Source organism: Homo sapiens, chromosome 3 (genome assembly GCF_000001405.40).
Source record: "Homo sapiens chromosome 3, GRCh38.p14 Primary Assembly".
NCBI classification, from domain to species: Eukaryota; Metazoa; Chordata; class Mammalia; order Primates; family Hominidae; genus Homo; species Homo sapiens.
Window position 1 is genome coordinate 107,752,059 of NC_000003.12, and position 25,288 is coordinate 107,777,346.

A 25,288-nucleotide genomic window follows, 5' to 3' on the forward strand; every position below is an offset into this window, starting at 1 on the left:
CTCTGTGGCTCACTCTTACACCTAGAGTATATCTTTGCATTGAAAAATTATATTTACCTTGAAGACACAGCTAATCTGGGTGATTTAGATAGATTTGGACTTTAAAACTTCCCTTAGAAGATATTTGCTTTGCCTATATAAATATAACTATAATCTCACCAAAATTAAAATATTGTCACCATTGGATATAAGCAATAGGTACAAATTTAATGCATTTATTTTCATGAGGGAATGCTCAGTTTGTTACACTATATTACAGTTGATTAAAAACACCATATACTTACACTGTAACTAATCAGTGGATGTATTTTGTGTTTTATTGGAAGCACTAATATTTCTTTTTAGATAAGAAAGGTAAGGTAAAGAAGGCCTTATTTGTTCTTTGACTCATTTATTCATTCAACAATTATCAGTCATTTTCTCCCAAGCTACAATATTTACAATACCGTCATAATTGCAAGACTTCCACCATTACCTAATTTGATTCTCATCTTTACCACCTGTTTGCTCACCCACCTCAGACAGCCATAAAATTAGCAATTTAACATCCAGGGTGATCATTTTTCTTAGCACTTTAGCTGTACCTCATGTACTGTTGCACCCACCCTGTAGCTAGACTTTATGGATGAATACTGTTTATCCAAACATTACATAATAGTCAAGAGAGACTACAGTGGAATTAACTTATTGGCAAGCCCTATCCAATTTGAGGAAAATAAGAAGCATACCCATGAACATCCTATGCCGTATGGCCCACTAGTGCCCTCTACCTACCAACCTAGCAAACACACACTTCCCTCCATAGCTGACCAGTCATTGGAAAACAGATGTTAACTATATTGTTCGTATCTGAAAGGATGTATATATCTCTTAGGTAGAACAGCATGGGCAGGAGTGAACAGTAATATAACAAATCATTATTATATCAGCTATGCTTGAAATTGAAGCCATCAGCATAGATGAGATTACTGAGAGAGGGTCCTAAGACAAAACACTGAGGAAAAACATTGAAGGGATTATTATGGAAAGAAGAGCCAGCAAAGAAGAACCACAAGGAGTGGCCTGAGACATAGGAGGAAAGCAAGGACCCTGCAATAACAGAAGGGCAGGAAGGAGTTTTTCTAAAGAAAGACTAGCACTGTCAAATGCTGCAAAGAAATTAAGATAAGGACCAAGCCATGGAAATTAACGTATGCCCAGTTTTCCACCCTTCCTTCCCTCAAATTAAGAAGTTTTTGATTTAACTTTTAGAAATCGTATCTCACACTAAGTAATGCCATAAAAATGTTACTGTTAGGAGATCCTGGAAATGTTGGGCCACTAAAATATGTTGAACCTCCCCCCACACATGCCCTTTTGGGAATCAGGCTTCCAGCAACCTTGAGCATTTAAAATGCTTCCCTGTACCTGTAAACAGGTAAAAATCCTCCCAGAGGCAATAAGGAAAACTGTTCTTACTAAACCTAAGGAGAGCATTCTCAAGCCTCCTCTCTGACAGCTTTGCTTTAACTCTAAAGGCAGGTAGTGCATCCATGCAGTCAGTCATTCATGAGCCTCTCAGTGTGCCATGCACTGCATTAGGCACAGGATATGTGGGAGTGACACACACGGGGAACAAAAACCTGCAGTGACAAAAGCAACAGCAGAGGGAGCCAGTGGAAGAAACAGAAAAACAGCATGGGTGTGAAGTGCAGTGCTACGCAGCTTGTGGTCCTTCAGTAATTCTTGAGCATGTCATGGGATTATGTGACAAATTTAGTGCTCTGCAAATTACTAAATTTAATAAATATCCACACACACTGCTATTTTTAATTCTGTTCAATTTCAGTGTTTAAGTAATTTTTGGAATTGTACCAAAAAGGTGTTTATGTTTATTAAGTGTTAAAGATAAATCATTATTAGTAATAATTGGGCCATTTATTGAGAGCATAATATCTCTTCAGCACTGCCCTACACTAGCATCACACCTAATCTTCACAGCATAATTGCGGGCAGGTATTACTGTTCATATTTTGAAGGTAAGGTAAATGAGGCTCAAAATCTTATTTGCTTAAGTCCACACAGCAGCAAGTAATGAAAGCATGCCTGTGTGGCACAAAGGCCATATTCTTTCTATTATAGAGCGTTGATTCAAGGCACTGGCATTTATGTTCAGTCCTTCATTCCCTGAAGCACTGAGAGCCGGTGGTATTAATGTGTTTGTTTTCTCTTAGTCTCCTGATAAGGTGAGTAATTGAATTCAGCATGTCTAGAAAAGGTAGAAGTAGCATTTATCAGTGAAAATTCGGCCAGAAGAAAATATTCCAAACTTCAGAAAGTTTGAGCCCCATAAATGTATCTTCTAAAGGAAAAGTAAATGATAGAGATGAATAGAAAAGCACTCTGTTAAAACTGATAACACCCAGGAGGAAAGAGTCCTCATAACTTCCTTAAGCTAGGCCCTTTTTAATAGCCTAGGTAGGCCATTATTAAATACATGCTTCTACAAAGGCCTGTTATTCAGCAAGTATTCTAGGGAAAATTTCTTCTAGCATGAAGCACCCAGTCCCTCCTGGAGCTAACAACTTCGTAGAATCACCTGTGGGATCTGTGGTCACCTTTAAGGATATAGTCACAAGCAGGATTACCTACTAAATGGAAATAAGAAATAGCTCTGTTTTTAACTGAGAAAGAATTCAGAATCACAAAGAATCTAAAAATCTTAGACTATAGCTATCTACTCTAACAATGACAGAACTTCAGGTGAAGATGCTTGTAAATGTCTTTAAGAATGTATGTCCTTCTCAGCTCTTATTGAGGCTAGAAATGGAAAATGAAGTTTTTATTTAAAAAATGAGAAAAGGCAGTGTTGTTTATTTTTATCAATGCCCAGCCACTTTTTAGCCAAATTTGCAGAAGAGGATGCAGTCAATGTTAATGTTGTACATATGTTATGTACTGCAACACAGCATAGGCCATTAACTGTACAACTCAGATTTGTGGCCTTGATTATCAGTCTTTGCATGTACATTAAAGCATACTCTGAAAGCCAGGGTCAGTGTTTTATATAAAACTCTTAGATTCCTAAGCTGCTGTCATATGGCCTTGCACATATATATTGGATTCTAAACAAAATTTGTTGACTGACTTGATGCTGTCTTTCCACAGAGATCCCAGATATATTCTTCAAAAAAATTGTTTGGTAAATGCAAAATAACTCTAAATCTCTTTTATATTTGACTAGTTATTAAGTTAGTACTTAAGTAGAAATTGAAATGCATTTCTCACTTTAAGGTTACAGAGTTAAATTTAAAGCCTAGAATATCCAAGATAATATTCTTACTGTTAAACAGCCATACCTACTTTTGTTATTATTTTTGAGGTCATTTACTAAAAATGGTTCTCAAAATGATCATCCCAAATGTGACATGTTTTGTTACTTGGTACATGGGAGCAATGATACTCTCGTAACTAAGAAAAATTCCTGAATGTATATGAATGAGAAGCAAAGATTCTGGTATCACAACTAATATTCCCTATTTGGATTGTCTTTAATATAGATTTCTTCAAACACTTCGCAGTTGGGTGGTGCTGAGCCTGTAAAACGCTGTGGAAAGTCTGCACTCTTTCAACTGGCAGAGGCAAGTTCCTAAGAATATATTGAGATAAGATCTGCAGAGGTGGAAATTACAAAATATTCTAACAGTGTTTCCCTAAACTGTACCATCTCTCCTGTGACCATAAAATGAGTTACATCTAATTTTCAACAATGAGAGGGTTAACCTTTAATTTGGGAAAACTGAATTTTGCTACTAAGAGTCATTAAGCATTGCTAAAGGTTACCTAGAGATATTGCAAAATTTTTTTCACAGGTAGTATTTTAAAATAAGGTTACTTAGATTGGCTATGTAAGTCCAGCCTGAACACAGAAGAGTATCTGTGGTTATTTTCCCTTTTCTGATTCCCGTAAACCGTCTATAAATCTCCAGAATGCACTGCTTTTAAATCAGATGGTTGATGTTTGAATTTTTTTTTTCCTGGTGAAGAATTCATATGACATGTTCTAAAATCTGATTTTATAAGATCAATCAGTTGTACATTTGATGTGATGTGTGTAAAATGCTACTCTTCCATTGGCAAAGTAGAAAACTTGCTTTCATAAAGCTGGTGAGGAACAGAGACCTTATTAGTGGGGGATGGATTGGGGAGGAAGACGCCGGAAGCATCTGTTGCTAGGGTGGGCAAGGCAATGGCTTTCTCTGCCAGGCTGTGACTACCCTACCTCAAGGAAACATGCAGAAGAAATGTTTTCAGCACCAGGACATTCTAGTAGCAGTTTTCTCTGTTGGTAAGATAAATTAGGAGGTAGAAAGTGGATAACCAAAAATCTCTTACTAAATTTTTTTTAATTTTCTCATTTTTCTGGTTTCTTTTCAATGAGCTCCCTTTGAGTTCTTTTGTAAATTTTTTGTAGTTTATTTAACTTAATGAGCTGACCAATCATATTCTAAAATTGCTAAATTTTATGGTAATTTGTATCATAAAACTTATGCACTTAAAATATATAATATCTTTAAATTAGGTTTTTAAAGATTACCAAGTCCAAATTAGAAATATAAAAATACAAAGGCCTTAAAAAGTAAAATTAATAAACAATGGAACAAACTACCCCATTGTTGTCTGACACTACAATGACACGCTTCTTGTGTAAGACAAGTTGAGACCAAAATAGAGGGCTACAAGTGACTGGAAAACTCTAAGGAAAACTAATGAAGACAGCAGGGAATAGTTCTCAAAAGAACTGCATGAGTCAGTGCAAAGTACTACTCCAAACAGAGCTGAAACAGTGAAGATCTGACAAGAGAGTGCCTTTAGAGTTAGAGTTGTAAACAAATCCTAGTAAACAGACAGACTGTGAGGTCATGCATTTGTCTAGTAACTCTAAGACTGTATATAGATTGTCAAGAAAATTTATTTGAACGAAGTGATTATTTTTCTTGAATAATATGGATGTATGACCCTCTGCTTGTGCTGGTTATATAATTGCATGTGTATGTATGTGGGCACACATATATAGGAAAATACATATGATTTCTTAAATATTAAACAATACTAAAATGTAAAACCAGCTTTCAATGTATGATATTTACCTTTAAACAGTTTTTTTTTGTTAAAAATGTATGAACCTTTGGGGTACTTTGCTGCATGGGGGGGCTGGTAAAGAAGTGGATTCGTCATTTTCTTTCTTTGGCATAGCAGTCATAAAAAAAGGATTCCTTATTAAATCAGAGCTCATTAAAAAGAACACTCTTCTAATTTGTAGGGATGCATCCCAAATATGAAACAGATGCTATGGTTTAACAGATGTTTGAATGTTGGTATCATAATTTAACGGGGTAAAATGACTGAAATAAGCCTATTCCAATTATAGCAAATCAGCTTATACCAAGACTGAGTTTCTTATGACATTTGAGCAAAGATTTATACTTTTGATTAAACAGAATCCCTAAAAAAGAAAACTTTCTGGCATTGTTATTTGCACTGAATCAGTGTGATGTCTTAATACAGTGTATTTTAGAATAACATTCTAAAACCTCCCAGTTTCTAATTAAACTTAAGTATATGCACAATGGATTAACCAGCATCTCCAAATAATCACCAGCAGATTTATGCTTCCTTAATTTTTTTATTGCATGTGTACTTGATATTCATTTTTCATTCACAAAATATAACGTTTAATTATTTCTGATGCATTTTAAGATAAATAAATATAAGAAGATATTGAAGATTTTTCCTATTGCCTAGAATTGGTGATGGTGTCTGCAATTTGAAGACACAACCTTAAATTCACACATTCTAAAGGGAAAGTCACCAAGAAACTACTTCCAATTTGGGCCACACCCATCTCGGGATTTCTAAAGAGATAGCCTAATACAACTTATTATCCTATCTACCACTCCAGGAGTTCCTCCTCTTATCCCCACTCCAATCTCAAGTCATCCTTTGGTAGAGGGTTATCATAGGCTGTCCACACATCTGGAATATTTTGCCTTTTCTCTGTGTCTCAGGGAGGAAAGAAGAGATATTAATTCTCATTCTTTATCTATGTCCCATGTCAAGGGAAGTGAAGGCAGCTCCAAGAGAAGCACTGTTAAAGATTGAGGGAGGTACATGCAAAAGATTTCTTCTTCTTCTTTGGCAAGAAACAAGAAATATTTCAAACATCAATTTATTGCTGGATCCTTTACCTATCTGACCAGGCAAAAAAGAAAACTGAAGGAAGTTGACAGCATGGAGAGACTCGGAATGGCCCGCTGTACTTTGGGCATTATAAAGATGTATGAGTTTCCCAAGGGTCAAGTGGATAAATAGAAAATAGATCCATGTGATCAGGCAAGAGACTATTGGACAGTAACAGAGAGGGGTTGCATAAGGTAGTCCTGGGGCAGTCTCACATCAGGGGAGAATATGGTAGAGATGCCTTTGCTCGGGACCTCTGAGGTGTGCCTGCAAGCAGGAGTGATACTCAACTGGTTTGCCGTCCTTATACTAAAACAACAAGATACTTCCTACTGTCGGGAAAAAGCCTGTAACCCAACCACCCGAGTACTCTTCAGCACCTGGAGGGCACATCCCCTCTGATTAGGTGGCACCCCTGCCTGTTAAATATTTTGAATATCACCCCTGCCTGTGACATCCCCTGAGAATGCCATTGAGTCTTGTGTAGAGTTAACAGTAACAAAGAAAAAAAGAAAAACATAACCTTGGGCAGTTAGTTATACCTCCCCCATTCTGTCTTCTATTCTCTAAATGAGAGGTTTTAGGCCTTGTGAAAGAAGGGCCAGGAACCAGCCCCAAACTAACTACTCACCTTTCCCCAACTCCATTCCTGTGGGCTGGAGTAAGAGGAGTGAATGAACAGTCCTTCCAAACATGGGGGTTGTTGCTTCCAACAAATGTCTTCTCCTTAGTGAGAAGTAAGAAATATTTGGGGCATATATTTACTGCTGTGCCCTGTACCCATGTAAGCAGGCAAACAAAAAAAACTGGGGGAAATTGGCAGCAGGCACAGAGATACTTGGATTGGCCTGTACTCCCAACTTTAGCGTTGTAAAGACCCCTTTCCCGTTTTCCAGGACCCTGGAGCCAGGAGATTTCCTGGGGAAGGTCCTAATTCAGGCATATGATTGGCATTTTAAACTGGGTAGACTTTTAATAGCTGAAAGTGACCTGAAAGTTCTGGGATTTGTTCCAGATATTTTTAAGGGTTTTGTCTGAGGTCAGGGAATTGGCAGAAATATAATGCTTTATGTTTGGACCTCCATGAAGTTCATACTGTTCAGTTTATCATTCATTTAAGTTGTGCAGGTACTATAAGGTATTGTGTTTCCTTTCGTTTTGAAATTAATTAGGTCAGGTCATATAAAGAACAGCAAAGCATCCCCACTGGAGATCATTGTGTATTATAGTGGCTATAGTTGGAGGACACTGAAGAGGGTCAGAGATATCTGAACCTGTGTACATTTCAGCAAAGAAAAATTCTACCCTTGAAGATCTCTAGTACCAAAATTGTCTAATATAACAAGTAGAGCAACTTGTTCATTTATTCTCACAGTAGTTATTGAGGATGTATTCTGTGCCAATAACAGAGGTGACTGAAGTTACCTGTATGTGTATATACACATATTTTTGGTGCAATGAGAACTAAAACCTGTAAACCTTCTTCTAAGATCGGTGATATAGGAACATGTTACCTCCAAGTACAGAGTATTTTAAAGTGTGACTAGAGGCTGCAGCATAAGCCTAAAAAGATTGCTGTTCTGCTTCTCACTTTTCTGAAACAATTTTGAATGTTCTTTAAAATACATTACAAATTTGAATGGCAGATCTTTCTACAGATAAGTTATGCTATCTAACCTAAGATGATAATGACTGGCATTTATTATCTGCTGTGTGTTAGGCACTAAGTACTTTATATGTACTAATTTGATTCTCACAACTATCCTCTGAGGTAGCTACTATCATTCTTCTTTTACACATTAGGAAACCAAAAGCTATAGAAGTTATATAACTTGTTTAAGGTCACATGGACAATAAGTGTTAGAGCCTACACAGGAACCCAGGCAGACTGTCTCCACAGCCTGTACTCTTAAACACCAGGCTGTTCTTTCACCTTGTTTTAGATGAATATAAAAGACTGTGCAAGTTGCTTGTTATAGGAGTGTGCATATTATAAAAGTCTCTATGGAAGACAGCTTACTCCTACACATGTATGTGTGGCTGAATAAGATGACAGATTGTCCAAGACTGCTGTCAAAGAAATGGAGCTCATGTTTTCTTTTTAAAAAATGTCTGTGCTTTTGAAACTGCCAGGATGCATCTTACACCCTTAAATAAGTGCTTGTTTGTGAATGTGCTTTGGAAGATACTGTGGGGATTGTAGGAAATTATGGTATACAACTCCTGTCCTCAAGGAGCTTATTCTCTAGTTGTAGAGATAAGATATAACAAGTTAAGGAATAAGAAATAAAGAGTGCAAGTGATTTAATAAGGAATCATGCAAGGAAATGATGAAACTCCACTTGAGTGATGAGTGACACACAAAAATGAATGTGTGAAACTAGGGAAGGGAGAAAATATTAGCAGGCATGTTCTGGAGACCAAGCACAGGGGAAAAAACTGATGATGGTTTTCAATCAAGGAGTTACTTAGGAACCACTAGAAGTTGAAACTAGCAGTCTCTGGGTGACATCCAACCTACAGAGATCCTTTGTTTGGCCTATATTTTGTTGACCTATATCATATTCTACAGTTCAATTCATGGCTAATATTTGAAGATTAAAACTTCAAATAAATATAGATTTCTGACTTCTGAAAATTTGGAGGACCTGGAGACATCAAGCTAGCCTTCCTTCATGAGAACAATTGCTCAGAGTTGATTAGTGGTTGCCCTTTTGGATGCTTGTTCTCCAAATGACTGTCCTCTCCTTTCCCTGCTGAGCCCTCAGTCTGAGGCCAACAGTCATTGCCATTATCCGCTTAAATTTGCTCATTTCCCTCCTTTATACCTGACCGCCATACATAGTGGGGATTGTGACTTACACATAATTAAGTGGACAGCTGGGGGAGATAAAGCAAAGGGATTAAGGCAAGCACAGGAGAAAGGTAGATGGTAACAAGTCTATCAGATTGACAGGAATAGAGGACTGTGTTTATGGAAGATGAAGGTAAAGTGTATCTGTGAGTCAGAATTGGGAGAATGTTTAGTGCAGAGCAAATAAATATATACTTGAAAATAATGAGGAGCCATTGAAGATTTGGGACGGTGTTACACAGTGATAAAAGCAGCACTTAGAGAGATCTTCTTGGCAGCTATGTATGGAATGGAGTGGAAAGCCCCTGTGGACTTAAGGTGTGAGAAGATAAGAACTGGAATTGAGAGAGCTGACAGTGGGAACGGGAGACAGAAAGAGATGCCAGGGGTATTCAAGTGAATTGTTTGAGTGAGTCAATGTGAGAGGCAAAGAAAAAGAAGAGTCAAAGATGACTCCAACACTGAACCTGATTGTTTGACCTTGACCTTGGAACCCTGCTTCGGGAAGGCTGGTTGCAAACAAAGAGTAAGCCCTGCTAGTAGAAAAGAAGAGCTGAAAGATGCTGAGGGTGGGGGAAAGAGAAATTCAATAATAGAAGAGTGGAAAAAGGAGAAGATTGCTAGCCAAGTAAATAGTTGAGTTTAGGAAGCAGAGACCTGCATTCCTGAGAGCACAGACGACAGAGGCAGCCACCATAGATCCCTCCACTGCTCCCAATTATTGGTGATATTTGATCAGTGTATGATTCCATTTAAGATTTCTGTTGTGTCTTCATATTATTGATGTGCATTATCCCTTCCATCCTATGGTAACCCCCTTAAAGCCCAGAACATCCCACCTCAGCTCCTCCTACACTATCGTCATATAAATGAATTCTAATACTTAAAATGCATTTAAGGGGACCCGTGTGGTGGGTTTCTTTCCTTATCATTTTATACAAAATTGTGAGTTGTTTTTAGAAAACTCCTGTTCTAAATCTTTTCACCTCATCCCCAATTGCACTAGGTTATTTTTGGAGGAACAGAAAGTAGAGGAATGTATCTAATTGACTGCCCTTAACCTCTTTGGGGGAAGACTTTAGTAGATGGGCTTATGGAGGAAAGGCCACCTCCACCCCATTCAGAGTCTTCAGAAACAGTACCATTTCTGAGGAAATGGTGAGTAAAGAAAAATATTTAAATCACCGTTTCACCTAGTCCAGTTGTTGCAGCAAACTACAGAACTGTTAAATATGCCCAGATTTTAGTGTTGAGAGAAGCTTAGACCACTGTTCTGTGACCAGTTATCTCTTATGATAAATGGAATTGAATTTTTTAGCAGCAATGCTATTCTCAGAAACCATCAACCAGTGTATATTTCTCTGGCACAAGCGTTCGGGTTTTATTTAATTATGGGAGAAATGCACATCCTGAAAAACACTGCTAAAATGCCATCCTAAGGTTATGTCTACATTGTTTTGGCAGATAATAAGCCAGTACAAAATGATTGTAAATATACCTTGGCTGCAAAACATTTGTTTTGTACTAAAAAGCAGAGATTTGGAAATGGAAACTTCTTGATTGGTGTCAGTAGGTCTGTTTTCACACTGCCTTGTTTTTAATCTGGCCAACTCCTTTATAATAGACAATGAAAGATGACATATAATTAAAAGAGAAATTATATGGTGCATTTTGGAACTGCTTATCATTTCTTAGGACAGGTTGAGCATCTCTAATTTGAAAATTAAAAATCCAAAATGGTGTAGAATCCAATACTTTGAGTTCTGCCATGACCTCACAAGCAGAAAATTTCACACCTGACACCGTCGCTTTTTGATAGTTCAGTGTACACAAACTTTGTTCCATATACAGTTATTTCAAATAGTGTATAACATTACCTTCAGACTATTTATATACAGTGTATATGAAACATAAATGAATTTTGTGTTCAGACTTGGGTCCTATCCCTAAGATATGTCATTATGTATGTGCAAGTATTTCAAAATTCTAAAAAGTCCAAAATCTGAGACACTTCTGATGCCAAGGTTTTCGCACAGGGGATACACAGCCTCCACCAGTTAAATGGTTTCTGCTTCTGTACTTCTGTGGTATTACCTTTTTTTTTTTTTTTTGAGACAGAGTCTCGCTCTGTTGCCCAGGCTGGAGTGCGGTGGCGCGATCTCGGCTCACTGCAAGCTCCGCCTCCCGGGTTCACGCCACTCTCCTGCCTCAGCCTCCCTTACTTTTTATCTAGTACACCTAATTTGTTATTTTTCCACTGATCATTTTATTACGTCTTTTAAAGCAGAACAAATTAAAAATGAATATCTTAACATCAGTAGAAAAGAATACATTTTAAAATACATCTGATTCAGAAAGATAAAAGCTTGTTGCAGCCAAGGTTTATTTTATCTTTAAAGCGAGTCCGTAGTAACAAACTGAGCCTAAGGTATGGTTTTACCTGAACTAAAAGTGTGACAGTCCCCCTGAACCCAGGAACATAAAATATAATCCCTTTACTACACATTTTATCTCACCCCTTCAGTATTTCTATTGAATTGTTTTCTTTGTAATCATTTTGAAGAAGATAACTTTTTATACATGGTCTAACATGCACATCCTTAGGAATCCTAGGTATTAACATACTGATTTTTCTTTTTCTTTTGGGAGTGAGTTCCATTTCTTCCTGCACATCACTGTCAGATCCTTCTGACTACACAAAACACTGAGAAACCTCAGTGCGATTTTTATTGACAGAGGTAATATTAAAATATTGGTGATTAATTTCACTGGTATTCTTGGGAGGTATAACTAAGGACAGTATGATTGCTGGGCCGGACCAAGCAGTAGCATGGTCATAATTAGCATTGTTTTTGTTGCTGCTGCTGTTGCCGTTTTTTGAGATGGAGTCTTGCTCTGTCGCCCAGGCTGGAGTGCAGTGGCACGATCTCAGCTCGCTGCAACCTCTGCCTCCTGGGTTCAAGCGATTCTCCTGCCTCAGCCTCCTGAGTAGTTAGGATTACAGGCGCCCGCCACCATGCCCAGCTAATTTTGTGTTTCCAGTAGAGACAGGGTTTCACCGTGTTAGTCAGGCTGGTCTCGAACTCCTGACCTCAGGTGATCCACCTGCCTCAGCCTCCCAAAGTGCGGGGATTACAGGCGTGAGCCACCACGCCCAGCCAGCATTGTATTTTATAGGCTTAAAGTAACTCTTTCCTTGTGCGAATCAGAATGCATTTTAGACTCATAGACTACCTCAGAACTAATGAACCATCCTATTAAACACAATTATCTGTTGAATGCCTTCTTTTTGAAAGGTACTAGGGTATTCTTGCAGGAGAATACAAAGGTGAACAGAATACATTTTATGCCCACTGAGTTACAGTTATAAAAAAATAAAGTAGTACCTGAGGGAATAGACGATAGGTATCAAATATTTATGCCCATCATTTGATTTAAAACATTAACATTTTAACTTCTTTGAATGCAGTCACGGGAATTCCATCTCTGGAAAGTGTCCAGATGATTTTTCATTCTTACTTTTTAAAAAGGTTATTGTCCAATTTAAAATAATATTAGAAGAATAAATTGTCATTTACTGAGGCATGTACTGTTTCAAAGCCTGATTAATAACTCACAGTCTATTAAGGGCAGCTTGAGTAAATTAATAACAGCCATTAATTCTGTTTCCCACAATGTAGCCTTATTCACTTGAGTTCACATTGATTTATGTTCTTTTATGTCTTCTGTGTGCTTGTCTGTGTGCACATCCATGCATACATTTGTAAACCCCACTACAGTGTTGATGAGTGCATCCAAAAGTAGATGTAAGTGGATCTACTTGTACCCCAAAGTAGAACTGAGCTTTCCTACATGTTTCTTAGAGTTGCTTCTTGAAAGACAACTGATTTGAGGTCTTCCTGAATCTCATTTTGTTGAATATTTTTCCTCCAATGATAGAATCATTCAACCCTAAAATGAACACTTAGAGCAAAACAGTCTACCAAAGACATGTCATGCTATTAATGATACTAATATGAGTATTACTGGTAAGTTAGTATTTATTCCATATGGCATAAGGCTCCAGAGGGATGGTTATTACATTATTTTAGCTCTGTACTAGGCACTATTTTAAGTACTGTTGCATGTGCAACTCATTGAACCTCACAGTTTTCCCAAGGCAGTAATTTTAGCATACACATTTTATAGATTGAAAAACTGAGGCACAGAAAAATTTAGGGAAAATAGCTAATCAGTAGCAGAGCCTGTCTATAGTCCTAGACAGTCTGGCTCTGGCTCCAGCATCCCTGCTTTTTGTGTGGGTTTAGGGGTGGGTGTGGGTGTGTATGTGTGTGTGTGTGTGTATGTGTGTTTTCTTTTTTCTTGAGACAGGGTCTTTCTGTGTTGCCCACACTGGTCTGAAACTCCTGTCCTCAAGCGATCCTCTTGCCTCAGCCTCCCAAAGCATTGGGATTATAGGTGTGAGCTAACCTCGCCTGGCCCATCCCTGCCTTTTGAAACTGCCTTCCAGTACATCACTGTCAGACCTTTCTGACTACACAAAACAGTGACCACCGATGGCTGCCGACTGCCTTTCCTCAGCTCCTGTGTCCCCTGCTTCCACCTGGGTTCCTCCAGTAGGCGGCACTGGCTGGAGACTGGGGAATGGGAGGATGGGAGAGGCCAAGGATTTGCTTACATCCAAGAGTGATGCGTCTTATAAATGTTACTACATTCATAGCTGTTCCCAGGTTTTGTTTGTATCTTATGGAAATGCCTAATATGCAGTGGAACAAATATCAAAAATAAAAATTAAGGAATTTATTTGTAATGATTTTCATAGTAATAGACAAACTGTGGAATTTACTTGTAATGATTTTCATATTAGTAGACAAGAAACTAAAGTGCTCAGAAGAAGATGCTTAAAAGGAGAGTGCTTTAGAAGGAAAATGCTTTAAAAAGTCAAACGTATACTTTTGACGTAAGGAAGAGTGAGTTTAAAAAAATTAAGAGACTGAACATGCAAATAAGCACTAAAATGGAAAAAGGACCAAGGTCAATGAGAATGTCTGTCTGTCTCTCCACACACATATACACATACAATCTCAGTAAAAGAACGAGGAAGATTTTTTCAAATTGTGATTATGCATAAACTCTAATGAATTCATTTGTAAAAGAATATAAATCTTGCATGACAACCAAGGAGAAATACAAAAATACAAAAGTATGGTATCGACTGTTAAGACAAAAATTACTCTAAAATCCAGTATGAGGTAGGGCTTGGGCAAAAACAAACAAATCTTAAGACTATTTTTAACTGTTTAGAGCTACATAAAGAAATTGGCTTTGTCTGGATTAGAGAAGATAAAGCCAACAAGAAACAAGAGAAGGCAAACTATGTAATTATTGCTTTTGTCGCCAAAAAAGCAATAATTTGGTGGGGAGTGGGGGGCAAGGAAAATTATGATCAAACCAAAAAGTATAGGTAAAAAAAAAGATAATTGTATATTAAATCAAAGTTAGAAAAAGCTAAAATATGATTCCTCAAGGATCTAGAACCAGAAATACCATTTGACCCAGCAATCCCATTACTGGGCATATACCCAAAGGATTATAAATCATTCTGCTATAAAGACACATGCACATATATGTTTATTGCAGCACTGTTCACAATAGCAAAGACTTGGAACCAGCCCAATTGTCCATCAAAGATAGACTGGATAAAGAAATGTGGCACATATACACCATGGAATACTATGCAGCCATAAAAAAGAATGAGTTCATGTCCTTTGCAAGGACATGGATGAAGCTGGAAACCATTCTCAGCAACCTAACACAGGAACAGAAAACCAAACACTGCATGTTCTCACTTATTAGTGGGAATTGAACAATGAGAACACATGGACACAGGGAGGGGAATATCACACACTGGGATCTGTCGCAGGATAGGGAGCTAGGGGAGGGAGAGCATTAGGACAAATACCTAATGTAGATGATAGGTTTATGTTGCAGCAGACCACCATGGCATGTTTATACCTATGTGACAACTGTGCACATTCTGCATATGTATCCCATAACTTAAAGTATAAAATACATATGTATTTCCTTTCCTTGGCTCCTATGCCCCCTGCTTCCATGCAGGTTCTACTAATGGGAGACACTGGCAGGAGACTGGGAGATGGGAGGAAGGGAGAGGCCAGGGTCAACAGGGAACTGGTAAAGAGGCATCAGGGTAAGGCAGAGGCAGCTTGTCTTCCATTGGTACATATCCAATTTAAAAAAGGAGAAAAGCTAGAATACAATACACATGGTCTTAGTATATTAATTTAGGTTTCCAACAACAGAAAAAACAGATTGTAGGATACCACAAGACCTTGCAAATTGGGTTTCAACCTCACTTTTGATCATCTTTGACAAGTTGTGTGAAATAGGAGAGCTCAATAGGAACAAAAAGGGGAAAAGTTCACTTTAATTTTTAAAAAGAATAAGCCTGATTTCTCAAATACAGACGATTAATTCCTAGAAACCTTTGAAAATTATTTTAATTGGAAAATCATTCTAATCATGTTTGAATCCACAGAAAAGAAGAAGAAAACAGGGAATTATCAAAGTCTCTCTGAAAAGGGTCATTGTCAAATGTGCCATCCCAGAGTCTCTTTGCCCTGCCCACTGCCTTCTGCCCCATGTGACTGCTGACTGCCTTTCCTTGGCTCCTATGTCCCCTGCTTCCACGTAGGTTCTACTAATGGGAGACACTGACAGGAGACTGGGAGATGGGAGAAAGGGAGAGGCCAGGTTAGGGTCAAGAGGGAACTGGTAAAGAGGCATCAGGGTAAGGCAAAGGCAGCTTCTCTTCCATGTTCCAGTGCTCTCCAGATAAGTGCCCCATGCTTCCATCTTCCACTGGGGACCTGTCCCATGGGCTTCAGTGTCACTCTTTCCGCATCTGTTTCTTCTGTGGCTTTCTGCTGTCACTAACCCCTGTGTTGCGTCACCGCCTCCTGTTTGGGTGTCTCAGTTCTTCATGGCCTGTGTAACTAACCTATTCCCTGCCTTAAATTCCCGCTGCTAGTTTTGCTTTAGGTGCTTCCGTTTCCCTAATTAGACCCCGACTGGTACAAAAGCCGACCTCATTTTCTATTTGGTATAGTTACGGTTGGTCATAAAATTGAGTAAGAGAATGCTGTTGGCATGCTGTATCCAGATTTTAGCAAGACTTTTGACAGATGTTACAATGTTTTGTGAACAAAATGGGAGGAATTTCAAATGGATTAGAAAAAACATTCTTAGGTTGCTGAAGTTTATTAATGTTCAAATCATCTTCATGAAAGGGCTCTAGAAGTTTGGCAGAAGGCCCTGTCCTTGGCCATGTTTTGCTCAACATTATTACCAAAGATTTGGACAAAGACATGAAAAGCAGCTTTATTTAATGTGTGTATAATACACAGATGGAAGATAATTCACATTTTGAAGAGATAAACTTAATAAGAAAAAATGGAAAGTCTTACATCTAAGTGCAAAACATAAATTATAAAAATACAGAATAGAAGAGATCAAGTTTACCAGCATATTATGTGGGTATAGAAAACCAGGATTTTACATGACAGTAAACCCAATACAAGCCAGAAATGTGACCTATTAAAAAAAATTAATCTCTGGGTCCCATTAAAAGAGCATTCCTATCAACTGACAAGTAGTTACCCCTTCTCATCTAGTATAGGCTAGGAACATAATCTTAGAAAGATATTGCTAAATTGAAATAGCCAGCCAGATGCAGTGGCACATGCCTGTACTTCCAGCATTTTAGGAGGCTGAGGCAGGAGGATCGCTTGAGGCCAGGAGTTGGAGAGCATCCTAGGCAACATAGCAAGATGCCTATTCTCTACGGGTGGGGGGCGGCGGGGGGGGGGAGCCGGGCATAGTGGCATGAACCTGTAGTCCTAGCTACTCGGGAGGCTGAAATGTGAGGATCACTTGAACCCTGGAGGTCGAGGCTGCCATGAGCTATGATCATGCCACTGCACTCCAGGCTACATAATAGAGCACGACTCTATCATTCATAGATAGATAGATAGATAGATAGATAGATAGATAGATAGATAGATAGATAGATAGATAGACAGATAGATAGGATAGATAGATAATCTGATAGATAGAAAAAATTTTGAAGTATCCATTTTCCCCAAGCTTTGTAAAGCTTTGTATCATTTACAAGTTGTGTTTGCATATACATTTCTTCACTTTTGCCTCACAACAGCCCAATGTAGGATGTACTGTTACCCCATTTCTTAGCCTCTGTTTCCTCATAGGGGTTCAAGTCTAAGTTACATAGCTTACTGTTGGAGCTTTAAGCAAACTAGGATGCTTGGTCATGAGCCCAGCCCCTTTCAATAAAACCCATCTCATTTCAGGACACCTACTGCATCTAGGTAAGAGGGACCCAACTTTTGAAGTGTGGAAGCCTTTACATGTGATGAGCTGTTAAGGGAGATGGGAAGAGACTTACGGGAACATAAAGTCTGTCTTCGAGTATCGTATCTGTCGTATGAGCAAGAGTGAATTCATGTGGCTTCAGGGAACAGAACTGAGGCTGATTGATTTTTGCTCAATATTTTAAAAATTCAAGCAGAACTGTTGTCTGATAGAGTGATACGCTCACTGTCTTTGTGCAAAAGTTGCTTAACTGACTCTCAGGAATACTGTAGTAAAATGAATTCCTGCCTTGGGTAGGTTAAAGTAGAAAACCTCTAGAGTGACGCCCAACTCTGAGAGTCTGATTGGGTTTTCGGTTAATGAGTAGATTTGTGATTTGTAGTTTTAATTCAGAGTTATTTGATTTACATGTATAGTTTCACTTCCAGCAATATAATTGTTTTTCCTATAATTTAGGATTAACATAATCTGTGAAAAAATTTTTAAGAGCCTGAAATGAGGAAGTAAAGCATGACTAGTGTTCAGCGTAATTACCTACACAAGAAATATTGTGCTATTTCCCAGAATACGTCCCCAGAGTGAATGTCTGTGTTTGTTCCATTTCATTCCTAGCTGTAGAATCCTTTCAGGGGTGATGAGAGAATCATTTTGAAATATATTGAAGCCTAGAATAGAGTTTGCAAAATATTATTAAGTTTGCTAAGATGAACCTGTGCAAATGCAAACTGTCAGCATACCACTAAAAACTAGCGCCGGTAAGGTAAATGTTCCTGAAGTGACCTATTAAAAGCCACCAGAGTGACAGTGGCTGAAAAATCATAAAATTTACCTTGAGAATGCCTTTCTAGCCTTTTTTCCAGAACTAGTATAATTTCTCTCCCCCCACATGGGATAGTTATTCACGAAGGGCTATAGAAGTTGAGAAAGGAAAATAAAAATTATTTCAAAATTGATATAAAAATAGTACATTCTCCCATAAGAGTAAAACATGCAGGGAATATTAAAGGTTTCAGTGATTCAGAATTAAGATAACATTTTGCTTTGAGCTTATTTCTGGTTATGTTTAATAAAGAGAAGTTCATAGTCTTCATAGCCACTTGCTGAGGTCTAAAGGTTAGCTTACCTGAATTCCTGAAAAAGACAGCTCTGTTGTGAATCCTTAATATTTCATGTCTTCCCTGTGAATGATCCGAAGGGCTGTGTGCTCTTGTCATGTTCACTTTTTTTAATTGCAGTGTCTGCCTCTCTCCACCCTTTCTTTAATTTCTTCCCAGACTTACTAATCATAACATAATTCTCACAGGAAGATTGGTGATGCATTGAAAATACTAAGAGAAAAATGAGGTAAAAAAGCATCTGGTATTTAATTCAATGTATTATCCACCTAAAAATGAATTTTACAGATGGTAATGATCTCTGACAACTTGCCATTTAATAAAATGATGGTTTTTAAAAACAGATCAGTTTCCTACTCATGTGCTTGATTTTGCATTGACTCAGCAACCCCCAATACTCTTTCCCTTCTAAGTTGCTAATACAAAGTAGATAAAATAAATTATGACTAAGACTTCCTTGCTGCCCTTGACCAAATCGGCATCATCAATCTCTTTATAAGTTCCTCAAAGGCAGACAGACCTGACCTTATTGATTTTTGTATCATTAGTGTCCTCCATGGGGGCTGGCATTTTGGGAGCCTTGCAGTTAAGTGTGTATAAATGAAAACCCAGGCACTGAAAACAGGTTTTACAATAAGCTTAAATTTCCCATTTTAAAAAATAGCTCTATATTAAAGTTTCAAGGTATCTGGGAGCCAGAGAGGAAAATGGCAACTTTCCCCTTGAATGTTCTGTACGTGAAATTTGGGGAGTTTTGATGAGAAATATAAAAACTTAACCAAATTGGGGCCAGATGGGTTTTGGTGTTCAGAATCTTTCAGATTTTAGGAAAATTATACAGTAGATACATATTACACTAAGTAACTTCCCCAGTGCATATTTGAATGCACCACTATTCCAATAACAAAAAGTATGAATGGTCACAGTAAGTGAAATAAACTATTTAAGACTATAAAGTTTCAGGTTGGTTCAGGTCAGAATTTGCAGCCAGCTGAGTTCACATCAGATCAATTTGCCAGCAAGTGAGTTAAGAAAACAAAAACAAGTTTGTTCTCAGAGCATTTATGACTTTAGAGTTGTCTATCAGCATTTGTGGACCTATAATGTTTTGTTCATTAATCAAAACCTTCTGTAATTGTTTAGCAAATGGTTATATCATTTCTAATTTCAAGTGGACAGGTAGAAATTATTTCTGCTTTCCTCATTTCCCCTGGAAAAAAAGAAAAGGCAGATATCTGAACAGAGTTTGAGGATGATTAAATACAGGTTGAGCATTCCTAATCTGAAAATCCAAACTCCAAAATACTGCCAAATCCAAAACTTTTTGTGTACCAACAAGAAGCTCAAAGGAAATGCTCATTGGAGCATTTCGGATTTCTGATTTTTGGTTTAAGAATTCTCAACCAGTAAGTATATAACGCAAACATTCCAAAATAAAAAAAAAAATCCAAAATTTGAAACACTTTCGTTTTCAAGCATTTCGGATAAGGGATATTCAGCCTGTGCTACAGTTAAGTACATCGTTTCACTTAGACCACACAGAATCCTCTGAGATAGGTCCTAGGATCGTTTTCCTTTTACAGAAGCCACAGAGGAGTGAGGGGGTAAGTGATTCATTCTGGGTCACAAAGTTAATAAGTAGCAAAACTAAGAATCAGACTTGGGTCTTTCAACTCTGAATCCCTTCCTCCTTCTTCCAGGTCTTGTTTTCATAGGAAAAGCTTCTGTTGAAGCTAGAAAATGACAATTCAGAGATACGTTTGACGAGTTAAATGACTGTATAACAGTGCCCACAGCCTTCTATCAATTTGATTCATTTCAGTTAGTTTGGCAGAAGTGGGCTGATTGTTGTAAAGTTTAAAGTGTGTTTTGATTATTTTTAAAACAGATATAATTGAAAACTTTAATTTTGAAGGTGGAATAATAAGGATACTTTCGGGTGCTCTCCCATTTTGTTTTAATTGTTTAGATGTGCCTGGCATCAGAAGGGATGAAAATGGAAGAATCAAAGCTAATAAAAGCAAAAGAATCCGATGGTGGAAGAATTAAAGAATTAGAGAAGGGAAAGGAAGAAAAAGAAATTAAAATGGAGAAAACAGATGAAACTAGGTTACAGAAGGAAGCAGAATTTGAAAAATCGGCTAAGGAAAATTTAAGAGATTCTAAGGAATTGAGAAATTTTGAGGCATTGCAAATAGATGACATAATGGCTATAAAAATGGAAGATCCCAAAGAAATTAGAAAGGAAGAGTTAGAAGAAGATCACAAATGTAGTCATTTTCCTGATTTTTCTTATTCTGCCAGTAGCAAGATAATAATTAGTGATGTTCCCAGTAGAAAGGATCATATGTGCCATCCTCATGGAATTATGATCATTGAGGATCCCGCAGCATTAAACAAGCCAGAAAAGCTAAAAAAGAAAAAGAAGAAAAGCAAAATGGATCGACATGGAAATGATAAATCCACACCCAAGAAGACTTGCAAAAAGAGGCAGTCTTCGGAATCTGACATTGAGAGCGTCATATATACCATTGAAGCCGTCGCAAAAGGAGACTGGGGCATAGAGAAACTTGGAGATACCCCTCGCAAGAAGGTCCGCACATCCTCAAGTGGCAAGGGAAGCATTTTGGATGCCAAGCCACCAAAGAAAAAAGTGAAATCAAGAGAGAAGAAAATGTCAAAGGAGAAATCCTCAGACACCACCAAAGAGTCAAGACCTCCAGATTTCATTAGTATTTCTGCTAGCAAGAACATTTCTGGTGAGACACCAGAGGGTATAAAAGCAGAACCATTGACCCCTATGGAAGATGCACTACCACCCAGCCTATCAGGACAGGCCAAGCCTGAGGACAGTGACTGTCACAGAAAAATAGAAACTTGTGGTTCCAGGAAATCCGAGAGGTCTTGCAAAGGTGCTCTTTATAAAACCCTGGTGTCTGAGGGCATGCTCACCTCTCTGCGAGCTAATGTTGACAGAGGTAAGTAACTTCTACAAACCTGAAAAGAATTCAAAAACCAAACAGAATTTCACCTTTAGACCTATTGAAAACAACTGCCATAAAAAACAATATGGTATCAAAATAATACCTTACATTTGTATATTTCTTTATGGTTTATAGATCATAATTATTTGTTACTTTACTTACATGTTTTCTAGCACCATTAAGGGAAGTGTATTCATTTTGTAGGTAGTTCTCAGGATGTAATTAAAGTAATTTTAATCTCTTCTTTCCCCCCACTGGTATGGGCTGGCTGTTTGTTTTGAAAGATTATTATTAAATATTCAGAGCTTTAGGTTTGGTTTTGAAAACTGGTGGAATTTCGAGAATCAAGCACGTATGTTTGTCAGAATCTTCACCTGTAGGCTCTAGAAGCAACTGCCTTTCTCTCTTCATTAGGTAATCAAAGCTGTAACTGAAGTGGGCCAGGCACAGTGGCTTACACCTGTAGTCCCAGCGCTTTGGGAGGCCAAGGCGGGTGCATCATTTGAACCGAAGAGCTCTTTAAAACATTATAATGTCCAGAAAATAGTTAACCTGTTTACCTTTATTCCATTGAGTGTTTTATATAAATTCTCTATTTTAAAATATAGCATCTGCCTGGAGGACTACCTTTTGCCAAGCTATATTCCAACAAGACATGTGTGAGTCCTAGGTCTAACAAGCCCCAAATGAAGATACTTGGGCCTATTTCATCCCCAGGGATGTCAGTTCAGTGAGTTTTAGGGAAATTAGACTGAATAGTGCCCACCAGCAAAGGACTCCCATACCTTGGCTGGTTTTTGAATGGAAAAGCTAGCAGCAGTTAGTCTGTCTCTTTGAGTCATGTGATACCTGTTGAATTACATGACAATTAATCCCAGAAGCTCTAAGTCACTTTTCTGCATGTTCCATTATTAAAGATGGTCCAGCATGAATCACTCTGAGAACTCTGAAATAGCTACAGTTAGCTTCATGCAAATGATATGCAAGCAGTCAAGAGGTTGCTCGTGAAGCAACTAACATCATCTCCCCTCGCCCACCTGTATACCAAACACATCCTTTCTCTTGAATTTTCTTAGGAAAACGAAGCTCAGGAAAAGGAAACTCCTCTGATCATGAAGGGTGTTGGAATGAAGAAAGCTGGACATTTAGTCAGAGTGGGACCAGTGGGAGCAAGAAGTTCAAGAAGACAAAGCCAAAAGAAGACTGTCTCCTTGGGTAAGTGCCTGTGAGCACAGTCACCTGTACTCCACAAGCCTCAAGTGTGGGTGGGATTTTCAAGGTAAACAGATCACTAACTACGCATGCTTGTTCTTTGACTACTCGCTCAGGACTTCCTACAATCTTAGTAGGCACCCTAGTGAACACAAATCAAGTGCATCACATCATTCCTGCTGTTAACATGGTCATGTGAATGACAGTAACATTCACATTTTGATCATAGTGAAAATATATAGACTTTAGACTTGGACCTGAGTTTGAATCAACATCCCTTCACCAGGATGCATTTTTCCATCCGAAGCTTAGAATGGATAGTATTAGCATGTTTACATTTTGCCCATTTTACATACTATATGTATTTATTGTTTATAAAATGACAGCTGAAAAATGTAAGGTAAATGAAATTATGCTTCTATCGCCAACTTTATTTTGTTCCAGCTGTCTTCTGTTGCTCTAAGATAAAAATATCAGGTCAAATATTCTGCTGTAGAGAACATTCAATATATTAATTATATATTGAAATGCAGTATTAAGCAATGGCATGCATCAAGATAAAATCACTTAAGAATTATTTTATATTTAACGTTATGCCAAAGACTGTTAATAACCATCTTAATATAAAGTATTTTGTTAGTTAGGAGATCCAATACTTTATACTGGTGAGGAAAGTATCTGCATATTCAGTTAGACTATTTTGAAAATTCTTGAGGTTTCTTGTCGGCTCAATTTGAAAAGAATACTTTGAATAGAAATAAGTACATTGTTATATTCACCATATTTTTTCAAAAGTGTGTTTAAAGCTATGCAAATTGTATGCATTGGGTGTATTGTATTTGATTTATTCATAATATTTGCATATCTCTTTGTGGAATAATATATTTTTCCTTAGATGTCACAGTGCTTTAAGTCTGGCTAATTCTAAGGCTCTAGGTCATCACAAAGTAGCGAGGTAGAAATTATTTCCCATAGTGCTGGCTCTTTAAGATTATTTTTATTGAAATGATATATTTATAATTTTATGTATTTCATTTCTAATATTTTTAAAAATCCAAAGTACTTCAAATTAATTTTGCTTATAATTTTATGTATTTCATTTCTAATATTTTTAAAAATCCAAAGTACTTCAAATTAGTTTTGCTTACATTTTGCTTAAGTAATGACATGAAAATCCTCGTATTTCAGTGTCAAATCATAGTGTAAATGCAGAATATCATTTTAAAATGACCTGCAAGCATCTAGACCAGTGCTCTCTGTAGTCTGGAATTACTGCCACTGCCTTGTGGGTCTGCTCACTGAGAGAGGAGCAGGTGTTATGTAGGCAGTGTGAGGTCCTAGGGGAATAAAGCAAGCATTGAGGCTCCCCAACAGAAGCATTTCTCTGATGCTTCTATTAGAAACTGCTGAAGCTGTAAGAGAGATTTTCATCAATTTTCTTTGAGGAACAAGATAAGTGAAACAATCTTGAAAATCTGTTCCTGAAAAGAGATTGGTATGTGGATTGTATGTGTTTGTTTTTTTAATCATTTCTGAGGAAGGCACATGTGTATAACTGGGAGATGCTTTTTTATAGCTGTAAATTAACAGTAAACTTCAGTGCCTTTTCCTCCTTTCTCCCTTTAAATATTGGCCTGTCAGGATTCGAGTATTTGGGTTTGCCTTGTTTAGAACACGCCAGTATAATACTTAAGCAGGGAGAAATGCCATTTCCTGTCAGTCTGCTCTGAGATTTGTAGATGAGCATTTTAAACCTTTTTTTATCTCAGAAAATGTGCTACCTGTTAACTGTAGCCAAGAAAAATTCTCTCAGTATTGACAGATCTAATTTTATAGACTTCTCTAAGAAAAACATAAATGATTATTATTGTTCTCTTTTTAAGAAAAGTCTCAAGAGACCTTATGAGTTACGTCTCACATTTTCAGTTTTCTTTTGGGTATTCAGAGTATTTGAAAAATTCACAACTTATAGACAGCTTTCTGATAGTATTTAATTAGTATCCAATTGTATCTGATTTTCCATCAGAATAAACATTTTTTAACTAAATGAGAAATGGTGATGTTATTAAGGGGAAAATATCACCTCCACCCGTTACCCTTTATTGCTTTGACAGAACTTAGTACAGTAGTTCCCCCTTAGCCATATTTTTGCTTTCTGCAGTTTTGGGTCTGAAAATACTAAATAGAAAATTGCAGAAATAAACAACTCATAAGTTTTAAATTATGCACCACAATGAGTAGCATGATGAAATCTCGTGCCATCCCACTTCATTCCACCCACTGCATAAATCATACCTTTGTCTATCATATTTCACTGTACAATATGCATGTATAGGAACAAACGTAGCATATGTAAGGTTCAGTACCATCAGCGGTTTCAGGCATCTACTGGGGGACTTGGAGTATATCCCCCCTCCAGTAAAGGGGTGCTTCCATAATTGCCATTTCCTGTTGACCATTCAGTTGGTCATCTGACCCTCTTATCTCTGCTT

At 37.6% G+C, this 25,288-nt stretch overlaps 1 protein-coding gene across 29 annotated transcripts in view; it reads left to right on the forward strand.

Moving 5' to 3' along the window:
• BBX (BBX high mobility group box domain containing) overlaps positions 1-25,288 on the forward strand; it is a 288,378-nt gene that overhangs the window by 229,097 nt on the left and 33,993 nt on the right. For 23 of the 29 annotated variants that reach the window (XM_024453646.2, XM_011513001.3, XM_047448599.1 and 20 more), the window contains 3 exons: positions 3,540-3,620; positions 20,570-21,578; positions 22,661-22,799. In XM_024453646.2, coding sequence (XP_024309414.1) covers positions 3,540-3,620; positions 20,570-21,578; positions 22,661-22,799 — 1,229 coding nt within the window. The remainder of the gene's footprint in view (positions 1-3,539; positions 3,621-20,569; positions 21,579-22,660; positions 22,800-25,288) is intronic. The other 6 variants (NM_001276286.2, XM_024453663.2, XM_024453664.2 and 3 more) reach the window with 1 other exon arrangement.